General features: G+C 52.3%; 1 protein-coding gene across 28 annotated transcripts in view, besides 3 other annotated features; it reads left to right on the top strand.

Moving 5' to 3' along the window:
- KIF1A (kinesin family member 1A) overlaps nucleotides 1-17,311 on the top strand; it is a 107,637-nt gene that overhangs the window by 14,929 nt on the left and 75,397 nt on the right. For all 28 annotated transcript variants that reach the window (NM_001379653.1, NM_001379650.1, NM_001379645.1 and 25 more), the window contains exons 2-3: nucleotides 8,663-8,828; nucleotides 17,163-17,239. In NM_001379653.1, the coding sequence (NP_001366582.1) occupies nucleotides 8,723-8,828; nucleotides 17,163-17,239 (183 nt within the window). In that variant the 5' untranslated portion in view covers nucleotides 8,663-8,722. The remainder of the gene's footprint in view (nucleotides 1-8,662; nucleotides 8,829-17,162; nucleotides 17,240-17,311) is intronic.
- Nucleotides 7,463-8,304: an enhancer, noted in NCBI's record as "H3K4me1 hESC enhancer chr2:241737588-241738429 (GRCh37/hg19 assembly coordinates)". NCBI's record gives its function as "activates a minimal SCP1, AML or CMV promoter by ChIP-STARR-seq in naive H9 embryonic stem cells {active_cell/tissue: H9 hESC(naive)}" and the evidence as "EXISTENCE:reporter gene assay evidence [ECO:0000049][PMID:30033119]".
- Nucleotides 8,433-8,933: an enhancer, noted in NCBI's record as "H3K4me1 hESC enhancer chr2:241736959-241737459 (GRCh37/hg19 assembly coordinates)". NCBI's record gives its function as "activates a minimal SCP1, AML or CMV promoter by ChIP-STARR-seq in naive H9 embryonic stem cells {active_cell/tissue: H9 hESC(naive)}" and the evidence as "EXISTENCE:reporter gene assay evidence [ECO:0000049][PMID:30033119]".
- Nucleotides 8,934-9,434: an enhancer, noted in NCBI's record as "H3K4me1 hESC enhancer chr2:241736458-241736958 (GRCh37/hg19 assembly coordinates)". NCBI's record gives its function as "activates a minimal SCP1, AML or CMV promoter by ChIP-STARR-seq in naive H9 embryonic stem cells {active_cell/tissue: H9 hESC(naive)}" and the evidence as "EXISTENCE:reporter gene assay evidence [ECO:0000049][PMID:30033119]".

Below are 17,311 nucleotides of genomic sequence, written 5' to 3'. Positions count from 1 at the left end.
TCCACGGAATATCTGGAGTGGAGGCTCAAGAGGACTCCCTGTTCTGGCTGATAGGATCACAGATGTCTCCTTACCTTGTGTGAGTTTTGAGAATTGTTCAGATTACAACGGCCCAGTCTTTTTGTGTCTGGATTATCCAGGAATGGACTAGTACTCTGAAAAGACTCAAGTGTACCCCGGTGCAAATTTCTGGACTTCTGCTGAGCAGCTCCTTTCTTCCAGAACTCTGACTCACAACCTCCAGCTGCCTCTGCCCACCCAAACTCTGACCACCATCTTCTCAACCTGTCAAAGCTGCCAAGGCGCTTGGGTCCTACCTTGCTGTGCCTGCCTCCAGGCAGATTTGGAGTGATCACAGGGCTCACCTAGTATGTGCCCCTTCTCTCAGGGATCACAGTCCTGCACTGCCTATTGTCTGATGTCTGAACACCAGTATTTTCGTATATTTTGTCTTCTTTGCTAGTTATTGTTTACAGTGAGAGGTTAAGCCTGGTCCCTGGGACTCTGTCATGGCTGGACATGAAAACTCCATGTTTTGCTATTAGTGTTTTCATTTCCATTTAGTAAGTATTTTTATATTTTCATCATGATTTTTCCTTTGGTTTGTTATTTAGAAGTTTATTTTTTAAATTTCTAAACATATGGGTTTTTAATTATTTTTAAATTAATTTTTAGTCTAATTGTGTTCAAATTACATGATTCATTTTATACAGGTCTTTGAAAGCTACTGGGAGTTGCTTTATGGTCTAGTACATGGTAAAATATTGTAAATGTTCCATATGTAATGGAAAAGAATGTTGCTCTAATTTTCTGCGAGAGGCACATATGTCCATTAATTTATGATTATTGTGTTATTCATGCTATGCTCTTATTAATTATATATCTGCTTGATCTACCAATTAGTGAGAAGTGTGTTAAAATCCCTGTCATGATAAATTAATGAATTCCTCCATATTACTTGACTCTGAACTTTGGTTTTATATTTTCGCCCTTTTTTTCTTTCTGGGATCATTTTGGGTAATTTTTTTCTGACATATTTTCCAGTTCATTAATTCTGTGTTGAGCTCCATTTAATTTGCTGATTAGCATGTCTGCTAAGTTTTCAGTTTTAAATAATTACATTTTATTTCTAAAAGTTCTGCATGGTTCTTTCCCATATGTTACCCCATTGTTTTTCAGTTCTGCTTATTTCTTAGAACATTTAAGCCAACTTATTTTTATAATCTGTATTTCACAATTTTAATATCTGAAGTCGCTGAGGATCTAATCCCTCTCTTCCCTTTCTCTTTCTTCTCCCTTCCCTCCCCTCTCCCTCCCGCCTCCCTCCCCACTCCCCTCTCCCTCCGCCCTCCCTCCCCTCTCCCTCCCTCCCCTCTCCCTCCCCTCTCCCTCCCCTCTCCCTGCCCTCTCCCTCCCCTCTCCCTCCCCACTTCCCTCCCCTCCCCTCCCCTTCCCTTCCCTTTCCTTCTTCTCTCCTCTCCTTTTTTGGTGACTCTTGCTTATGGTGAATTGCTTCTCCCAGTGTTTGGTAATATTTCATTGTGAGCTAACATTTGGCTGATGTTCATATGTGGGAATCTTGGGGCCCTGGGAAAGGAAGCCTTCTCCTGGGAGGATTTGTATGTGCTTTGTTAGGTGCTTTGGGGCCTAACTCCTGAGAACTACTCTGAGCTAACTTCTTGAATTTGGATTTCACTGATCATGCAGGTGTTGTAAATTTGAAACCCAAACTTTATGAGGACAGGCCTGTGGCCTTAAATTCTCAGTAACACTTGCTTTTTCACCACCTAGAGCTGGGCGTCATTCAGATTAATTCCCGTGTCCCTTCTTTTACCCAGCCTTCCATTTCACAGAGGCTGTAGCTTTGAAGGATTCAATTTTGTGGTGACTTGGTTCCAGTCATCACTTTTTGTCTCTTTGAGGTCCTGCCTCCCATTCCCCCCACAGCAGGTGAAACCAAATTCTCTGGTTTCTGGTATCACCAAATGCCTGTAGCTTTGTTGCCACCTTAATTCCATCTCCTTCTTCCTCTTTTTCCTTTCCTTCTGAGGAGTCCTCTAATTTTCTTCTGATGTTTGTTATTTATCCTGAATTTCTAGGTGCTTTATAATGGAGGGTGTCTCACCCACCATACTGCAGAAGTAGAAGCTTCCATTCAGCCCTTTTGCTCTCTGTTGGGAAATATTATTGTTATTATTATTACTTTTTTGAGACGGAGTCTCGCTCTGTCACCCAGGCTGGAGTGCAGTGGCGTGATCGTGGCTCACTGCAACCTCTGCTTCCCAGGTTCAAGCAATTCTCCTGTGTCAGCCTCCCGAGTAGCTGGGATTATAGGTGCCCACCACCACACCCAGCTAATTTTTGTATTTTTAGTAGAGATGGGGTTTCACCGTCTTGGCCATGCTGGTCTCAACCTCCTAACCTTGTGATCCACCCACCTCGGCCTTCCAAAGTGCTGGAATTACAGGCATGAGCTACCACGCCTGACCCGGGCAGGAAATATTAATTTTAATGAGCAAACTGATTTTTGATTTCACATATATCAGTATTTGTCAACCAAAATGAGGAATTTCTATTTATTTTACCTCAACTGTTTGGTAATGATTTTTTAAAATGATTCTTTTTAGGTTAAGTATGAGCACAGTGTAGAACAATCAAACATTTTATAAAATTTGTTTAGAAAATCAGCAGCCTTTGTTCCTCATACCCAATTTTTTTCAACTCTCTTAGCTGTTTTTAAAATTTAGCTGTATATTACTAATTAATGTGCTTGTTCTGCTAATTCGTGCCTGTTTTAGCGGTTATGTAGATAGAATTATAAACTGTTTACCCTTTTGCATTTGGTTTATTTTTTTCCATGTCCTGTTTGTGGTATTCATCCATTTATCATCTCTCCCTCCTGAAATGCCACTAAAATAAAGGTAAAGGTAAACCAAAAAAAGACCTAAACGCTCCCATAAGAATGAAACAGGAGAGAACGCTCAGCAGCCACGTTCTGGATGCTGAAAAGCAGACCTGCGTGGAGACTGATCTAGAAGATTCACAAGAGTGGAAGCCTGGGTCCCTCCCAAGGCAAGCCTTGGTGACCTCCTGAAAGTCTTCCCAAGCCAACCACAGCTCCCTCGGGGACACTGGGGTCTGAACCAACCTGGGGATGATGTGGGGCTGCCCTCCCCATCCCTGTGCCTTTAAGGCTATGTGTTTCCTCGTCAGTCCGGCTTTAGCTACCTTCCGCAGGACCTTTGCCACAGCTTTGAAATGTATCTTCATTATCACTCATTCAAAATGTTTTCTAATATCCAGTGTGATGACTTCTTTGACCCATGGGTTTTTAAAAATTGTATTGCTTAGTGTCCAAGCAATTGGGTTGTTTTGTAGGTGATTTTTTTTGAGGGTATTGATGTATAGCATAATTCTATTGTGGTCAGAGAACATCTGCCTTATAACTTGAATTTAAGATGGATATTTGTGGAAGTTTGCTTTATGACCAGCATATGGCAAATTTTAGCACACATTCTGTGTGCACTTTAAAAGAATATGTATGAGGCTGGGCATGGTGACTCACACCTGGAATCCCAGCACTTTGGGGAGCTGAGATGGGAGGATCATTTGAGCCCAGGAGCCCAAGACCAGCCTGGCTAACATAGTGAAACCCCATCCCTACAAAATAAAAAATTTAGCCAGGTATGGTGACATATGCCCATAGTCCCAGCTCCTCAAGAAGCTGAGGCAGGAGGATTGCTTAAGCCTAGGAGGTAAAGGCTGTAGTGAGCTAAGATCATGCCACTGAACTCTAGTCTCAGAGACAGGAGACCCGGTCTCAAACTAAATAAACAAAATAATGTGTACGATATATATTTTCTCCTCCTCAGTGGCTGATAGAACAAGCACAAATTTTCATCCTTTTGTTTTCAGCCTCTCTGTGTCTTTGTATGTAGAGTCTCTTATGAACAGAATATAATTTATAAAAATCTGGTCTGACAATTTTTAATGTTTTACTTGGTGTATTTAATTCATACTGAGTTGACCTTTTATCTGCAATCTTAACTCTTTCTTTTCCACTTGACAATTATGTTTTCATATTCTGTTTTTCTCCTTCACTGCCTTCTATTGGATTCATACAATAAATTTTAATTTTTTGGATATTTTTCTATTAACTTGTTAGTTATACATTAGTTTTCTACTTTCTAAATGATTACCCTAGCAATGACAACATGTATCCTTGACAATCGAATATAAATGATTACTGTTACCTCTTTCATGATCATGTTGAAATCTTGCAGTCTTGTCTTTTGGTTTCTATCATTTCTGTTGAGGAGTCAGTTGTCAATCTTATTTTTGCTCCTTTAAAGGTTACATGCTTTTTTTTTTTTTTTTTCTGGCTGACTTTAAGCTTTTTCTCTTCATCCTTGGTCCTAGCAGTGTTGCAGTGCTGTGCCTTGTGTGGCTTTCTTGTTTGTCTTGCTTTGTGTTTGTAGAGCTTCTTGAACCTGTGGATCAATGTGCTTCAGCAGCTTTGGACAATCCATGGTCATTAGTTTTGTAAATACTGCTTCTCCCCTGTTTTGGTCCATTCCAGCTGATACAACAAAAATATCACAAACAGGGTGGCTTGTGAATAAGAGAATTTATTTTTCACAGTTCTGGAGGCTGGGAAGCTCAAGAGTAAGGCACATTGGCTGAGGATCTGCTTTCTGGCTCCTAGACGCCTTCTTGCCCTGCTCTCACGTGGTGGAGGGGCTGAGGGGTGTCTCTGGCATTTCTTTCATAAGGGCATGATCCCATTTGTGAGGCCCCACCCTCATGACCTAATCACCTTATAAAGGCCCCACTTACTAAAGTCATCACTTGGGGGGTTAGGATTTCAACATAAGAATTTGGATGGGAACAGGGGACACAAACATTCAGACCATGGCACCCCCATTCCATTTCTTCTCCTTCTAGATTCCACTTACAGGTATGTTTGACCATTTCACTGTGTCCTATACTTTTCTGGCTGTCATGTCTATATTTCCTATTCTTTTTATCTGTTTTAAATTTTCTATATTTCTATTACCTGTCCTCCAGTTTACTAACACTGTCTTCAACTGTGTCTATCTCTTGAGTTCCTAATTTTAGGTATTTTGTTTTCCAGATCTAGCATTTCCATTTGATTTTTTTTTTTATAGTTTCCAGTCCTCTGGAAAAATTCTCCATTTTCCATTTATATTCTCTGTCCTTTTTGCTCTTATTTTGAATATATTTGTCAGGGTTGTTCTAAAGTCCTTGTTTAATAACTCCTAGATCTGGATCATGTTTAGATATGTGTCTTTTTTTTTCTCATGTGTTTATATTTTATTTTTCCTCTTTGTTTTTAATCAGAGTCCTTTCTTATTTTATACCTTCTAAGTTTTGATTGGATGTCACACATTGCCTATTAAAAGAATGTAGAGTACAGAGATTATCCTGGGTTTGAAAAAATAAAAATAAAAATAAAAGAGTGTAGAGGTTCCAGATGGCTTCCATTTTCTCTCCCAGGCAGCCAGACTGAAGTCCGAATTAAACCAAGCGAGGGCAGGTTGTAGTTTTCATAAGGTTCGTCCGAGCTATGGCTCTGCCCTGCTCTTAGGTTTCGTACCTTGCTGGGCTTTCAGCCAGAGCCTGGTGTGATCACTGGGTATTCTCCTCCCGGAGGACCCTGAACTCAAATCTTTGTTCCTTCCCACCTGAGACTGTGCAAGACTCCTCTTTGGTTTTCAGCTTGGGTTTTTAAAATCTCACCTCTCATATCCTCAGAATTTGGCAAATGTCTTAAGGGAAGGACTGGGCATTTGTTCATCTTAGTTGTTCACCTCTGTCTTCTGGAATCTTGGCCTCTCAAGTTTCTTTTTGCCCAAAAGCTCTGCAGCTTCCTCCGTCCCTCAGCAACGGCTCTCTGTCTGGGAAGACTCCAGATTCCCAGTCTCTTGCCCCGTGCGCAGAATGCAAATACACCCCGGAGGCTGTGCTGCGGAGGCCAGCTCCCGTCTTGGCAGCCCCTCCTCTGGAATGTTGGCTTGTGGCTGCACACTGATTCCTTCACACACAGTGCGGCGTGGTATCGGGCCTCTTGAGTAATGCATTGGTCGGCTGCTGGCCACTGCACCCACCAAGCCGCCTTCGCCTTCCATGCTTCGTGGTGTGCATATTCCATACCCCAGAGCCAAGAACAGAGGCTTCTCTGTGTCCTTGTACCACTTTTACATTTTAAAGATCAAGTTCTAGAATAGCTTTATTTTTTCAATACGGGAGAGCCAGTTGTCCCATACTGATCTTACCTCATTCCCTAAATTGCTGCCTTTTTCTTTAGTGTGTGTGTGTGTGTGTGTGTGTGTGTGTGTGTGTGTGTGTCTGCTTTGGACATGCTTAGTCTGTTCACGTGTCATTTCTAGACTTTGGAAATCATTGTAGCTCTGTAGGATATATGATAGCTGGTAGGGGATGTTTCCTCTCTTTGTTCTCATTTTTCAAAATTCTCTTATCCTGCCAAATTCCATTGAACATCCTGTTGGAATATTTTGCTTATCGGAATTGCACTGAATTTATATAGCTAAATTTGGGGAGAACTGGAAATTTTGCACTGTTGAATGGAATATCTGCTTTCATCAATATTTTCTTAATTTCTAAGTATTTCCGATTTTAGTACTTGGGATTACTGAGTCAAGGGATACAGACCTTCTTAAAGGCCCAGGGCGTGCTGCAGAATTGCTCCCTAGAAACCTTGCGGGATTTGTGCTCTAGCCAGGGACTGGTGAACTTGCCTGTTCCTCTCTCCATCCCGGCTGGAACGTCCTAAGACTTTTTCCAGTTTTAAAAGTGCAGGGATTTTCAACACAAGGAAACACAGATTCTCAGAGGTCATCCCCCCGTCCACGCTGGCAGCCACTCCTGGCTGTGAGAAGAGATAGTGGCGGAAGCACTCTGGAGTGTAGACGCGGCTGCACCTGGTGGCTCTAAGGGGCTGTGGTGTAGGCGGCACGAGTCCAGCCACATCAGGAACTTGTCCCCACTTAGCCATAGGGTGGCCTGGCACATCCCCCTCCCCTGTAGCCTCTGGAAGAGCTGTTTGCCTGAGGGACAGCCCTGCCCCACATCCAGCCTGTTCTGCGGAGGAGTTCTGGGGAGCCTGGGAGTGGCCTGGGCAAGGTCCAGGAGTTCAGCGTCTGCCCTGGTCCCAGGCTCACTGTGCCCCCTTTCCTTCTGCAGACAGACCCTTCCTGCTCTTGATCCTGTCCCAGGCTCGCTGTGCCCCCTTTCCTTCTGCAGACAGACCCAGGCTTGCTGTGCCCCCTTTCCTTCTGCAGACAGACCCTTCCTGCTCTTGATCCTGGAGCTTCCAGGGGCAGCCCAGAGGGGCTTGTCCCTTCTTCACAGCTATGAGGCTGGGGCACTGTAGGATGGGGGCTTTTTGCCAGATTCCCCCAAGGGTGGCACTTACAGATGGGGACGACCAGGCAGAAGGTTGCCTCTTCATGGAATGTCAGTGTGGAAGGGTTTCAAGGAGGCCTCCCAGCCTTTGCTCTACTTGGATGCCTCTGGTGATGTGGGACTCACCACTGAGTGGGCACCCTAGAGCATTTAGACAGCAATTGGCGAAAACCTCTCGTGTCAGGCTGCATGAATTCTGTTTCATGGAGTTCTGGCCATTCCTGTAACCAACAGCTCTGTCCCGAGGCTGTCCCTGTCCCTGTGCCCAGGAGCCCCATCGTTCAGGCCGCAAGTCCCACGGGGAAGCAGCAGCATCTGGCTGGTCAGCCCGGAAAGACCTTTCACAGTGGCTGCTTCGTCACTGTTTTGCGGGGAGTTTTCATCAGCCTTCCTCAGAGTCCCAGTACCCGAGAGGCCAAATCATTTTGGGGTTCCTGACCACCACCCCGTCATTTCACAGACGGTAAACTGGGGCCCAGGAAGCTGTCACACAGCTGGGGTAAAGGCCAGGCCGAAGCTGGTCCCCCAGCCCTGGCTTGTACCGAATTCCCCATGACTTGTCTCCTGCTTCTCCTCAGTGGGGCTCAGGAATGTTCCTCTCCACCTTCTGCGTGAATTACCAGCAGGACATTGGGCCGAAAACGTTGACTTTTGTCCCATTGCTTAGGGCTGTCTGTGCTGTTCTTTTCATTTCTGAGTAAAGTTCTTTCTTGCTAATTCAGAGACCACACTACTGCTGATGTGGCTACCAGCTGGCGCTTGGTGTGAAGGGTGTGATGGGGCATTCTAGAACACTGTTCTGTTTTAAAGCGTCCTTGACATGTCGATCTGGAGCCAGCACTGGCTCTTGGGGCCTGCGCGGACCTGGCATGGAGCCCACCAGCGCCTGCATCCACAGGGGAAGACCCTTCCTGGGGGGTTTGCCGTGGGTGTGAAGGCCACCTTCACGTTCACACCCAGGTCGCTGTGTTTCTGTTTCTTTTGTTGGGTTTCAGCTTCCTCAGGCTTGCGAAGCTGGGTTCCACTGGTCCCGCTGGGCTCCTGCTTTCTAGAATTATCTGCGCTGCCTCCTCTCCTTGTGGATTCCACCCCATGCATGTATCACACTGGGAGCTTTGGAGGGGAGTGGAAAAGACCTGTGGCTTCAGCTGCAGCCGGAGTGCCTGTCCTGCCTCCTCAGATATTGTTTCTAATTCATGTTTCCCTTTTTTCCAAGGTGTTCCCCCCACACTGGGGCTCCCACTACTGCGAGGAGTGACCCACGAAGGCCACAGAGATGGCCGGGGCTTCGGTGAAGGTGGCGGTGCGGGTCCGCCCCTTCAATTCCCGGGAAATGAGCCGTGACTCCAAGTGCATCATTCAGATGTCTGGAAGCACCACCAGTGAGTATCAGCCTGCACAGCATCGGGGTCGGCCATGGGTTGCTGGGGGCCATGGTCCTGTGCCTATGGGCCAGGCTCAGCAGTCAACCTGGCCCTGGCCGCAAGAGCACCTCCTTGTCTATGTGGCGTGTGGGTGTCCTGGGGCTGCTGTAACAAACTGCCACCAACGGTGGTGGGCTTATAAGAATAGAGATTTACGCTTACAGCTGTGGAGGCCAGAAGTCCAAAGTCAAGGTGCCAGCAGGGCCTCACTCTCTCTGAGCTCCTAGGGAGGACCTTTCCTGCCTTCTCCGGGGTCTGGTGGTTGCCAGCCACCTTGGCTTGCAGCAGCGTTGCTCTAGTCTCTGCCTCCGTCGTCACGTGGCCTTCTCCTCTGTGTGTCTGTGTCTCTGCTTTCATGTGGCTTTTTTATAAGGACACCCACCACTGGGTTTGGCTTTCTTATAAGGACACCCATATGTTTCCCCACATATCCAAACCGTATCAGTATCTTGGAGCAAGAACCAATTGTCATCTCTCAGTTCTGTGGCTGGCTGGGCTCAGCGGGGCAGTTTGTGCTGGGGCCTCTGGTGCAGCTGCAACTGCTGCTGCCGTCACAGGATCAAGTGGTGTCAGCTGCACTGAGTGGTGACATGAACAGCCACCTGGTCTTCAGGATGTGGACAATGACAGCCTTCCCATTCACAGGTGCCGTGCACCCATCCGACATGCCCTCATCTATTATCTACCAGGTGGGGAGGGGGGCGTCCCGAGGGGAGGGCACTCAGGTCCCATGGAAGCTTCCTCCCTAGGTTTAGTCTCCGAGGCCTGCTCAGGGGCTGGAGATTCAGGTGTCACTGGGGGTGTTCTGGGCTCTGTCACGTCCTATGGAAGTGAGGGCTCTGCTCGGGCCCTCTGTCTGGCCCAGGGATGATCCTTCCAGAAGCCCGTGGAGCTCTGTGGCTAATCATGGTGCAGTGGACAGGCTGGGGAGACCCTGCTAAACTCCAGGGTATGGAGGCTGCTGCGGCTGTGGGGCCCCAGTGTACTTCAGGGTTGCATCCTGACTGTTCTTCATGGTGAATTGTTTTGTCTGTTTGGTTCCTGGAAGCAGACCCAGAGATGAGGATTTGAGCACCAAGAGTTTATTTGGGAGGTGGTCCCAGGATGCACTGTGGGAGATTGGGGAAGTTTGAGGGGAAGCTGACAAAGGTGCGTTCGTAAGTGGGTGACCTCCGTGGCCGGGGCCCTGGCCTTGCCGGGGCCCGTGGATGAACACAATGCACCTACCGGTTGTCCTGCCCAGGAAGGCCAGTGCTTTTCCAACAACGCTCGCTGCATTAGCTGACTGCAGCCCTGGCCTTTTGTGGTCGGAGAAAGTGCTCAGGTGGCAGGACCCTTGCCTTTAAGAGGGAAGCCTCAGGCTGCGCAGAGCTGTGAGTCTGGAAATGTGACCTCAGGTGGGAAATGTGACCTCAGGTGCGAACCATGGCTCTGGGTGTGACCTTCGACTCCGGGTGGGAACCGTGACCTCTGGTGAGCACTGTGGCCCGGGGTGGGCAGAGGACGCCTGTTCCACGCTCCAACAGGCTTTGCTGTGTCATTGTAAGGTGACCCAGGACATCAGGGAGGGCCCTGTGAATCCCCTTCCATCCCCCACTGGGTGCCGGCAGCACAATTGCCACCTCAGTCTTGCATGTGGGGTCATGGGGAACTCCATGGTTGGCACAGTGACAAGAACCAGACCCGTCGAGCAGCTAAAGACCACCAGAAGCAGAGTGGATGGAAGAACAAAGCCTCAGAGATGGGACCCTCCTGCCCCTGAACCTTGAGAATGGCCCAGCCTCAGGCCAGACCCTAAATGACAGGGTTAGGCAGGTGGGCGGGTTGGAATGTGTGTCCCAGAAGTGACGGCCAGGGTGGGCGAGTGGCACCCTTGCAGCCTCCGACCTGCCCCCTGGCTCAGCCTCCAGGGGCACTGGGTAGGCGGCCTCCCCATTATGCATTTCCCCTCATAGGATCCAGAAACGGGAGGGTACAGCCTGGAGGTGAGCCAGCGTTGCCAAGACCTCGACACTGGCAGCACTGCCCAGCTGGTGAAAGGTGGTCTGGCTGAGGCTGCGCCGGCCCAGACCCAGAGAGCTGCCAGTTCAGAGACAGCAGTGCAGGCCTGGACCCGAGACCTCATGCCCCAGTGGTTTTTGCCTGCTTCACTCTACCCTCTCCTCTGGCCTGGAGAACAAAAGCTGAACCAAAGCTTTACCCCACGGCTTAGGAGCCAGAGGCCGGAGCCATATCTGTGGGCAGCCACGTTTCCTTTAGCCAGTGGGATTGAAACCTGAAGCGAGACACCCTGCTTCAAATGCCTGGATCCCGTCTGGCCCTGAAGACATTGGAGTTCTGGGATTTCGCCTATGTGCCAGCAGCCTCTGCTCCCCAGTAAGCTCTGAGCAGAAGTCTAGGCAAGCCCAGGAGGTCAGGAGGGAAATGCAGGAGCCCCTACACTTTTTTTGGGCAACTGGTAGGTCCTGAAGGAACCTCCCCTTCTCAAAGATGAACATATGCAAGACACCAACCTCTTCTGAGATGCCGATCTTCCGGGGATCACCAAACTAAATTAAATGTCTGTGGGGTTACAGCAAAGTTCTGAAACCAAGGAGGAGGAAAGGGCCGTGGACTCAGGGTAGGGGTGGAGAGCCTGCCAGGGCATTTCCTCCAGGACACCTGGAATGTTTCAGACATTGTCACTTTCATCCTCGGGAAACTGAAGAGCCACAGAGCCCAAACAACACATGAGATCAGTGTCCTGCCCACTGTAGCCGAAGACGCACCAAGAAAGCCAGGGCCCCAGGTTGCCGGCAAGCAAAAGGCAGGTTGTGAGGGTGGCAGGGACAGGCACCCAGGCCGCTTGCTGGGGACGGCCTGGTGATGGATATGAGACGTGTGAGGCCGACCTCACCAGGCTGCTTGCGTGAAATGCAACGAAGGTTATCCAGCAAGTGGTCAAAGGTGTGCGTTTGAAACGTTCACCTTGGTGCTGTTTTACCAAGCCCGGGGCAACCGCCCAAATGCCCGCCAGCTGGGAGCTGCTGAAGGGATGTTAAGTCTATCCCGGCAGCGGACCTGAGTGCTCCTGAAAGTTTGTGTTTACAGCTGTGAGAAAGTGCCACACGATGTTGTGGGGAAGGGGGCAAAGGTCAGCACGGAGCCCAAGAGTGAGGCCGTGTGTGGGTAAAGGGCAGATGGGCACTCACTGCAGGTCCTGTGTGCACTGGATGTGCACGTGCATGGGAGACAGCAGGGTGCGGGGGAGGGAAAAGAGTGGCCGAAGAATGAATAATCAGGAAAAATCTCTAGGAAAGCTGTTTTCATTTTGGAGAAAGCAAACCAGTGGTGGTTTTGGAAGAAAGTGCTGGAAGCTATGTCAGAAATCTGAGTGAAGGGCTGAGGGAGCTCAGGAGAGAAGGATGTCCCCTAGGCCTGGCGCAGGGAAGCCTGACGGAGGAAGGGGGTCATGGGCTTTTCTCCTGGAGGTTGAGGGGCCAGGGTGTTCCAGAGGGCTGACCTGCCCCCAGACAAGCCCCAGGAGGACACTGCAGACAGGGCATGAGAGGGTGCGGGTGGATGTCCACCTGCCAGGAGCACTCACAGGAGCCACCGTCCCTGGTGACTTCTCAGCTGCAGCTCAGATCAATAGAATTGGGAGTGGCTGCCCTGGCTGGTGTGCCAGGCCCCTCGGAAGATGGCGGGGACTGTGCGGGGCCCCTCAGAGGATGTCGTGGGGAAGTGACCTGGCCAGCCTGCCCTGCCTGTCCGGTGAAGCTGCTGACTGTTCCTGGAGTCTCAAAACATGAGGAGAGGCCCCACTCTCTAAAGCGTGCCTTGTAGCTCCGCTGTGACGCAGAAATTGGAAGCATTTGAAAGTAAATTTAACTGTTATCCCGTAATCATCACCTGCATAAATAATCCTCTTCATTTGAACACACCAGACCTAGCAGTTTTGTGAGCCAGCTGAGCTGTCCATTAGGTGCACTTCGGTCCGACCTGGCAGAGCTAGTGTAGGTTGGCCTGGGGGCAGAAGTTGAGTGTGAGTGCTTCCGTCCTCCTCCTCTCTCCTCACATTCTCTGCCCTGAGGACCGGAGGACGTGAGGGCCCTGAGCCTGCCCAGCCATTCTGCAGATGCTGGAGGCTGGCTGGGGACGCGGACCCTCAGCCATGTGCGGCCCCTGAAGTGAGTTCCTGGAGTGAGGGGCCTGGCTGTGCTCATGACTTACTCGCTGTGTGACACTGGCTAGAGGGCATCCCTTTGGGCCTCAGTTTCCCCACCTGTGCAGTAGTGAGGGGTGGTGCTGGGTACTCCCTGAGGTCCCCAATCATATCTGCACTCTTCTGGCCATGCAGAGGAGGCCCAGGGTTTGGGTGGCCTCTCATCTCTGCCCTTGCCCACAGATGGGGATCTGGACCCAGGGTGGGTGCGACCCAGGCCCCCAGCCTCCGCTGTGGGCTCCCCCAATCCCGAGCAGTCGGGGACCTGGGCAAGCCCCTCTGCACGGGCAGCAGTAGCACCCGTGTGGTCCCTGGGGCTGCTGTTACAGAGGGCTACATGCTGAATGGCTTCAAATGACAGAAATGTCCCCCCCCTGTTCTGGAGGCCAGACTCGGAGGTCCAGGTGCGCTGCAGAGTGGGCGTCTTAAACAGCATATGTTCCCTTCTCCGCAGTCTGGAGGCGGAAGTCCAATCAAGATGCCCACAGGTCTAGATCGTGGGAGGGCTGTCTTCCCAGCCTGCAGCTGCTGCCTTCCTGCTGTGTCCTTGCCTGGCCCAGGGAGCTCGGGTCCCTTCCCCTCCTTTAAAGCCACTCATCCCACCATGAGGTCCCTGACTTCGTGGCTTCGTCTCATCCTCATCACTTCACAAGGCCCCATTTCCAAATGCCAGCTGGTTGGGGGTCAGGGCATTGCATATGAATCTGGGGACACGCTCGGCCCACAGCAGGCTCCGTTGGGAAGAGCCAGCTCAGCTCGGCCCTCACACCTGGTGCTCAAGGCCGCAGGAAAGCTGAGACTCTGAGAAAACGGCTGTATTCCATTCCTTTCCCGTCCCCCTTCTTCCAGCTCCCCCCACTCCTCACCCCAACCCTCCCCCCGCTGTCTCTGTCGTCTCGGTGTCCAGTCCTTTGCAGGCCCATGCAGAGTCCTGGGAAGGCTGCCTGATACTGGGCACCTCGCCGGCCTTGGAGGGGCCCAGCTCTGGGGGCCTGGCCAGAGCCTGGGGTGGGAGGGGATGGGGGCCCTAAAGGGGCTGGCTGAGGAGCCCAGCCCAGCAGGCCCTGGGAGGACCTGTTTCTCCCTCCTCCCTCCTCAAACCTGCACAAGGAAAAAATTCCAGACCCTGGCAAAAAAAGCCCTTTCTCCAGCAGAATCGGGGAGGTCTCTGTGAGAAGCAGGCTGCTGAAGGAGGGGCTGCCTGTCTCCACAGGCCTGGCGGACCTCAGGGCTGGGAGGTGTTGCGGGGACCCTGGCTTCTAGTCTGGCTGTGCGTCGTGTGACCGGGGGAGAGGACCTCCCCTCTCTGGAGCTTGGGGCCCATCTGTAGTGACAGAGGATGGTTCCCAGCCACAGCACAGGGTGTGGGAGGGGTGGCAGGGCCAGGGTGGGGTGGGGCTCCCAGACACAATACATGGCCTGGGAGTGGGGTTGCCGGCAGGGTAGGGTGGGGGTCCCAGCCCCAGTGCAGGGCCTGGGATGGGGGTGTAGGCAGGGCCAGGGTGGGATGGGGGTCCCAGCCACAACACAGGCCTGGGAGGGGTGGGGGCCCAGGACAAGCAGGCCTGAGGGATTCTCCCAAGGGCCATTTACAGCTGCAACTGAGCCCCACTCCCGCCCACTCACCTGTGCTGCCCTCTGTCCCCCACCTACCTGGCATTCCTTGGGCACCATCTGTGCCCTGTCCCAGAGGGCCCCCACCTCATGGAGCTCATGGCCCATGTGGGGTGTGGCATCAGGGCTTCATCTGAGCAAGGTTGGCACCTAGGGCTGGGCAAGGGTGGGACAGGGAGCAAGGGCTAGTGGGGGTGTGGGGATGGGGGCCAGGCCTGTGCGGGGAGCCCGACCTGAGTGCAGCGGGGTGAGGCGAGGGGGTGGATGGGGCAGGAAGGGGTGTGGGGATGGGGCCAGGCCTGTGCGGGGAGCCCGACCTGAGTGCAGCCGGGTGAGGCGAGGGGGTGGATGGGGCAGGAAGGGGTGTGGGGATGGGGCCAGAGTGCGGCGGAGTGAGGGGATGAGGTGGACACGGTGGGTGTTGCTGGCTTGAGCAAGGGGCCCCAGGCCTCTGTGTCAGAGCTGGGAGGCCCAGCCGGGCTGTGCTAGGGAAGGCGCTGCAATTGTTTCCACAGCGCTGGTTGATCGTGCTAGGGTTCTGGAGGCGGCGCCACGGGTGCTGTTGGGTCCCGGCAGGCGCTGAAGTCGGGACAGCTTGGCCTTCTCTCTGCCTCTGCTCCTGGCCATAGCACGGACGTGGCCCCTCTCACCTCCGAGGACAGGGCTGTGATGGTCAGTCCCCAGCTCCCTCCTGCTGGCTGCCCGGGGTGCCTGGGTGTTTCCCAGAAATCCTCAGGCCTGGGATGGGGGCGCAGGTGGGACCTGAAACTGGATCTGCCCTGGCGACAAGGCTGCCAGTGATGCCTGTGCTGTCAGCAAGACGCTTGGCCAGAGGGGGTCTCAGTGCCCTGAACTGCCATAAGGAAGCACCGCAAACAGAAGTGTGCTGTCTCGTGATTCTGGAGGCCAGAAGTCTGAGATCAAGGTGGTGGCAGAGGTGGCTGCTCCTGAGCCATGAGGGGCACCTGTCCAGGCCCTCCAGCTTCTGGGGCTTGCCGGCTGCTTCTGGTGTTCCTAGCTTGTCATCACCCTGATCTCTGCCCTCATGTTCTCATGGCACCCTCCCTGTCTCCAAATCTCCTCTTTTATAAGGACATGGCAGCACTAGATTAGGGCCCGTCTTCATGGAGTAGGACCTCATCTTAACTAATTACATCTGCAGCAACTTTATCTCCAAATGAGGTCCCATTCTGAGATACTGGGGGTAAAGGCTTCAAAATATGAAATTAGGGGGACACAGTTTAACTCGTAACTGGGGCATTTTGTTCTCCGTGGTCCTGGTGGCAGGTCCCCAGGGTGCATGCTGGCACGGAGGGTGCGGGCATACTGGAGGCTGTGCCGCTGGCCCCCAGCCCACGCTGGCTGAGGAAAACCAATCCGGGGCAGACACAGCCTCATCTCCAGCCTTCATCTCCAAGCATAGGACGGTGCCATGAGGGCTTCGTTCTTCAGGTTTGCTGATGTGATGGTGGTGGTCTCCGGGGGCTCCCTGACCAGGAATGGCCAGTGTTCCTCCTGGGTGTGAGAACCTGGGAGGGGACTGCCTCAGGCCTCCAGGCCTCTGTCAACACCAATTCTGGGTTCAGACAGTGTTCCAGGGGGCAGCGGGTCCTGTCCTTCCGGCCACTGAGGACATGCAGTCTGCAGGGTCCAGGCCCGTCCAGGGCCTGGGAAATGCTGGGGGCAAGGATGGAAGGTGGCAGTGGGTGTGCTGGGTCCCTGAGATACTTGCAGGCTGTGTGGGTGGGAGGAGCTCCTGGGACACTCATACTGGGACAGCTCCTGGGAAACCCCCCCAGGCACCGGCTGTGGGCGGGGGCATCATCACGTGTTCATGGATTTGTTCTGGGTTTGAGGAACAGATATTCTGTGAGCACTGCCTGAAGCCAGCCCAGGGTGCCTGGGACTGGGCTTGAAGTTGGGTGGAGGAGGGAGGGGGAGGAGGGACTCTGGCAGAAGACAGTCCCATAGAGCTCTGTCTGGAGTAGCAAGCCTAGAAGAACCGCACAGGCGTAACACAAACGTGATGGACGCCCAGGCTTCCAGCGCTTCTCGGGCACGTGCACGCTGAGCCGGAGCATAAAGGCCTGAGCAGGGGGCGGGGCAGGGCAGGGGCTGTGAGCCCAAGGTGGACACCAGAGATGGAGGGGCCGCAGCTTGCAGGTGGGAAGGATCCTCCCCGGGTGGCTGCCTTTGAGGGGAGCCAGTTGCATTTGGCGGGAGAATGACACAGAGCCTTGCAGGCTGGTATGGTGGTACCCTTGGACATCCATGGGTGGCAGCGTCCACCATAAGGAGGGGGCAGAGACAGCTCATCTGCCTGGGAGTGGGGTCCTAGGTCCCCTCCAATTTGGGGGCCTGGCTTGTCTGGGGCCCGAGGCCTCTTAAGACCATCTCCCCACCTTGGAGTGTAGATGCCAGCTAGTCAGGGGCCCTCCCAGCACAGCGCTAACCACCTGTGTTCCCTCCCACAGCCATTGTTAACCCCAAACAGCCCAAGGAGACGCCCAAAAGCTTCAGCTTTGACTACTCCTACTGGTCGCACACCTCAGTAAGCCGGGACCCCGGGTCGGGGGAGGCGGGGGCAGCAGTGCATAGGCCATGTGGCCCTCGGGGTCCCTCA

Source organism: Homo sapiens, chromosome 2, assembly GCF_000001405.40.
Source record: "Homo sapiens chromosome 2, GRCh38.p14 Primary Assembly".
In the NCBI taxonomy this organism is placed as follows: Eukaryota; Metazoa; Chordata; class Mammalia; order Primates; family Hominidae; genus Homo; species Homo sapiens.
The sequence above is the reverse complement of the archived record's forward strand: the minus strand, read 5'-3'. Positions and strand labels throughout refer to the sequence as shown.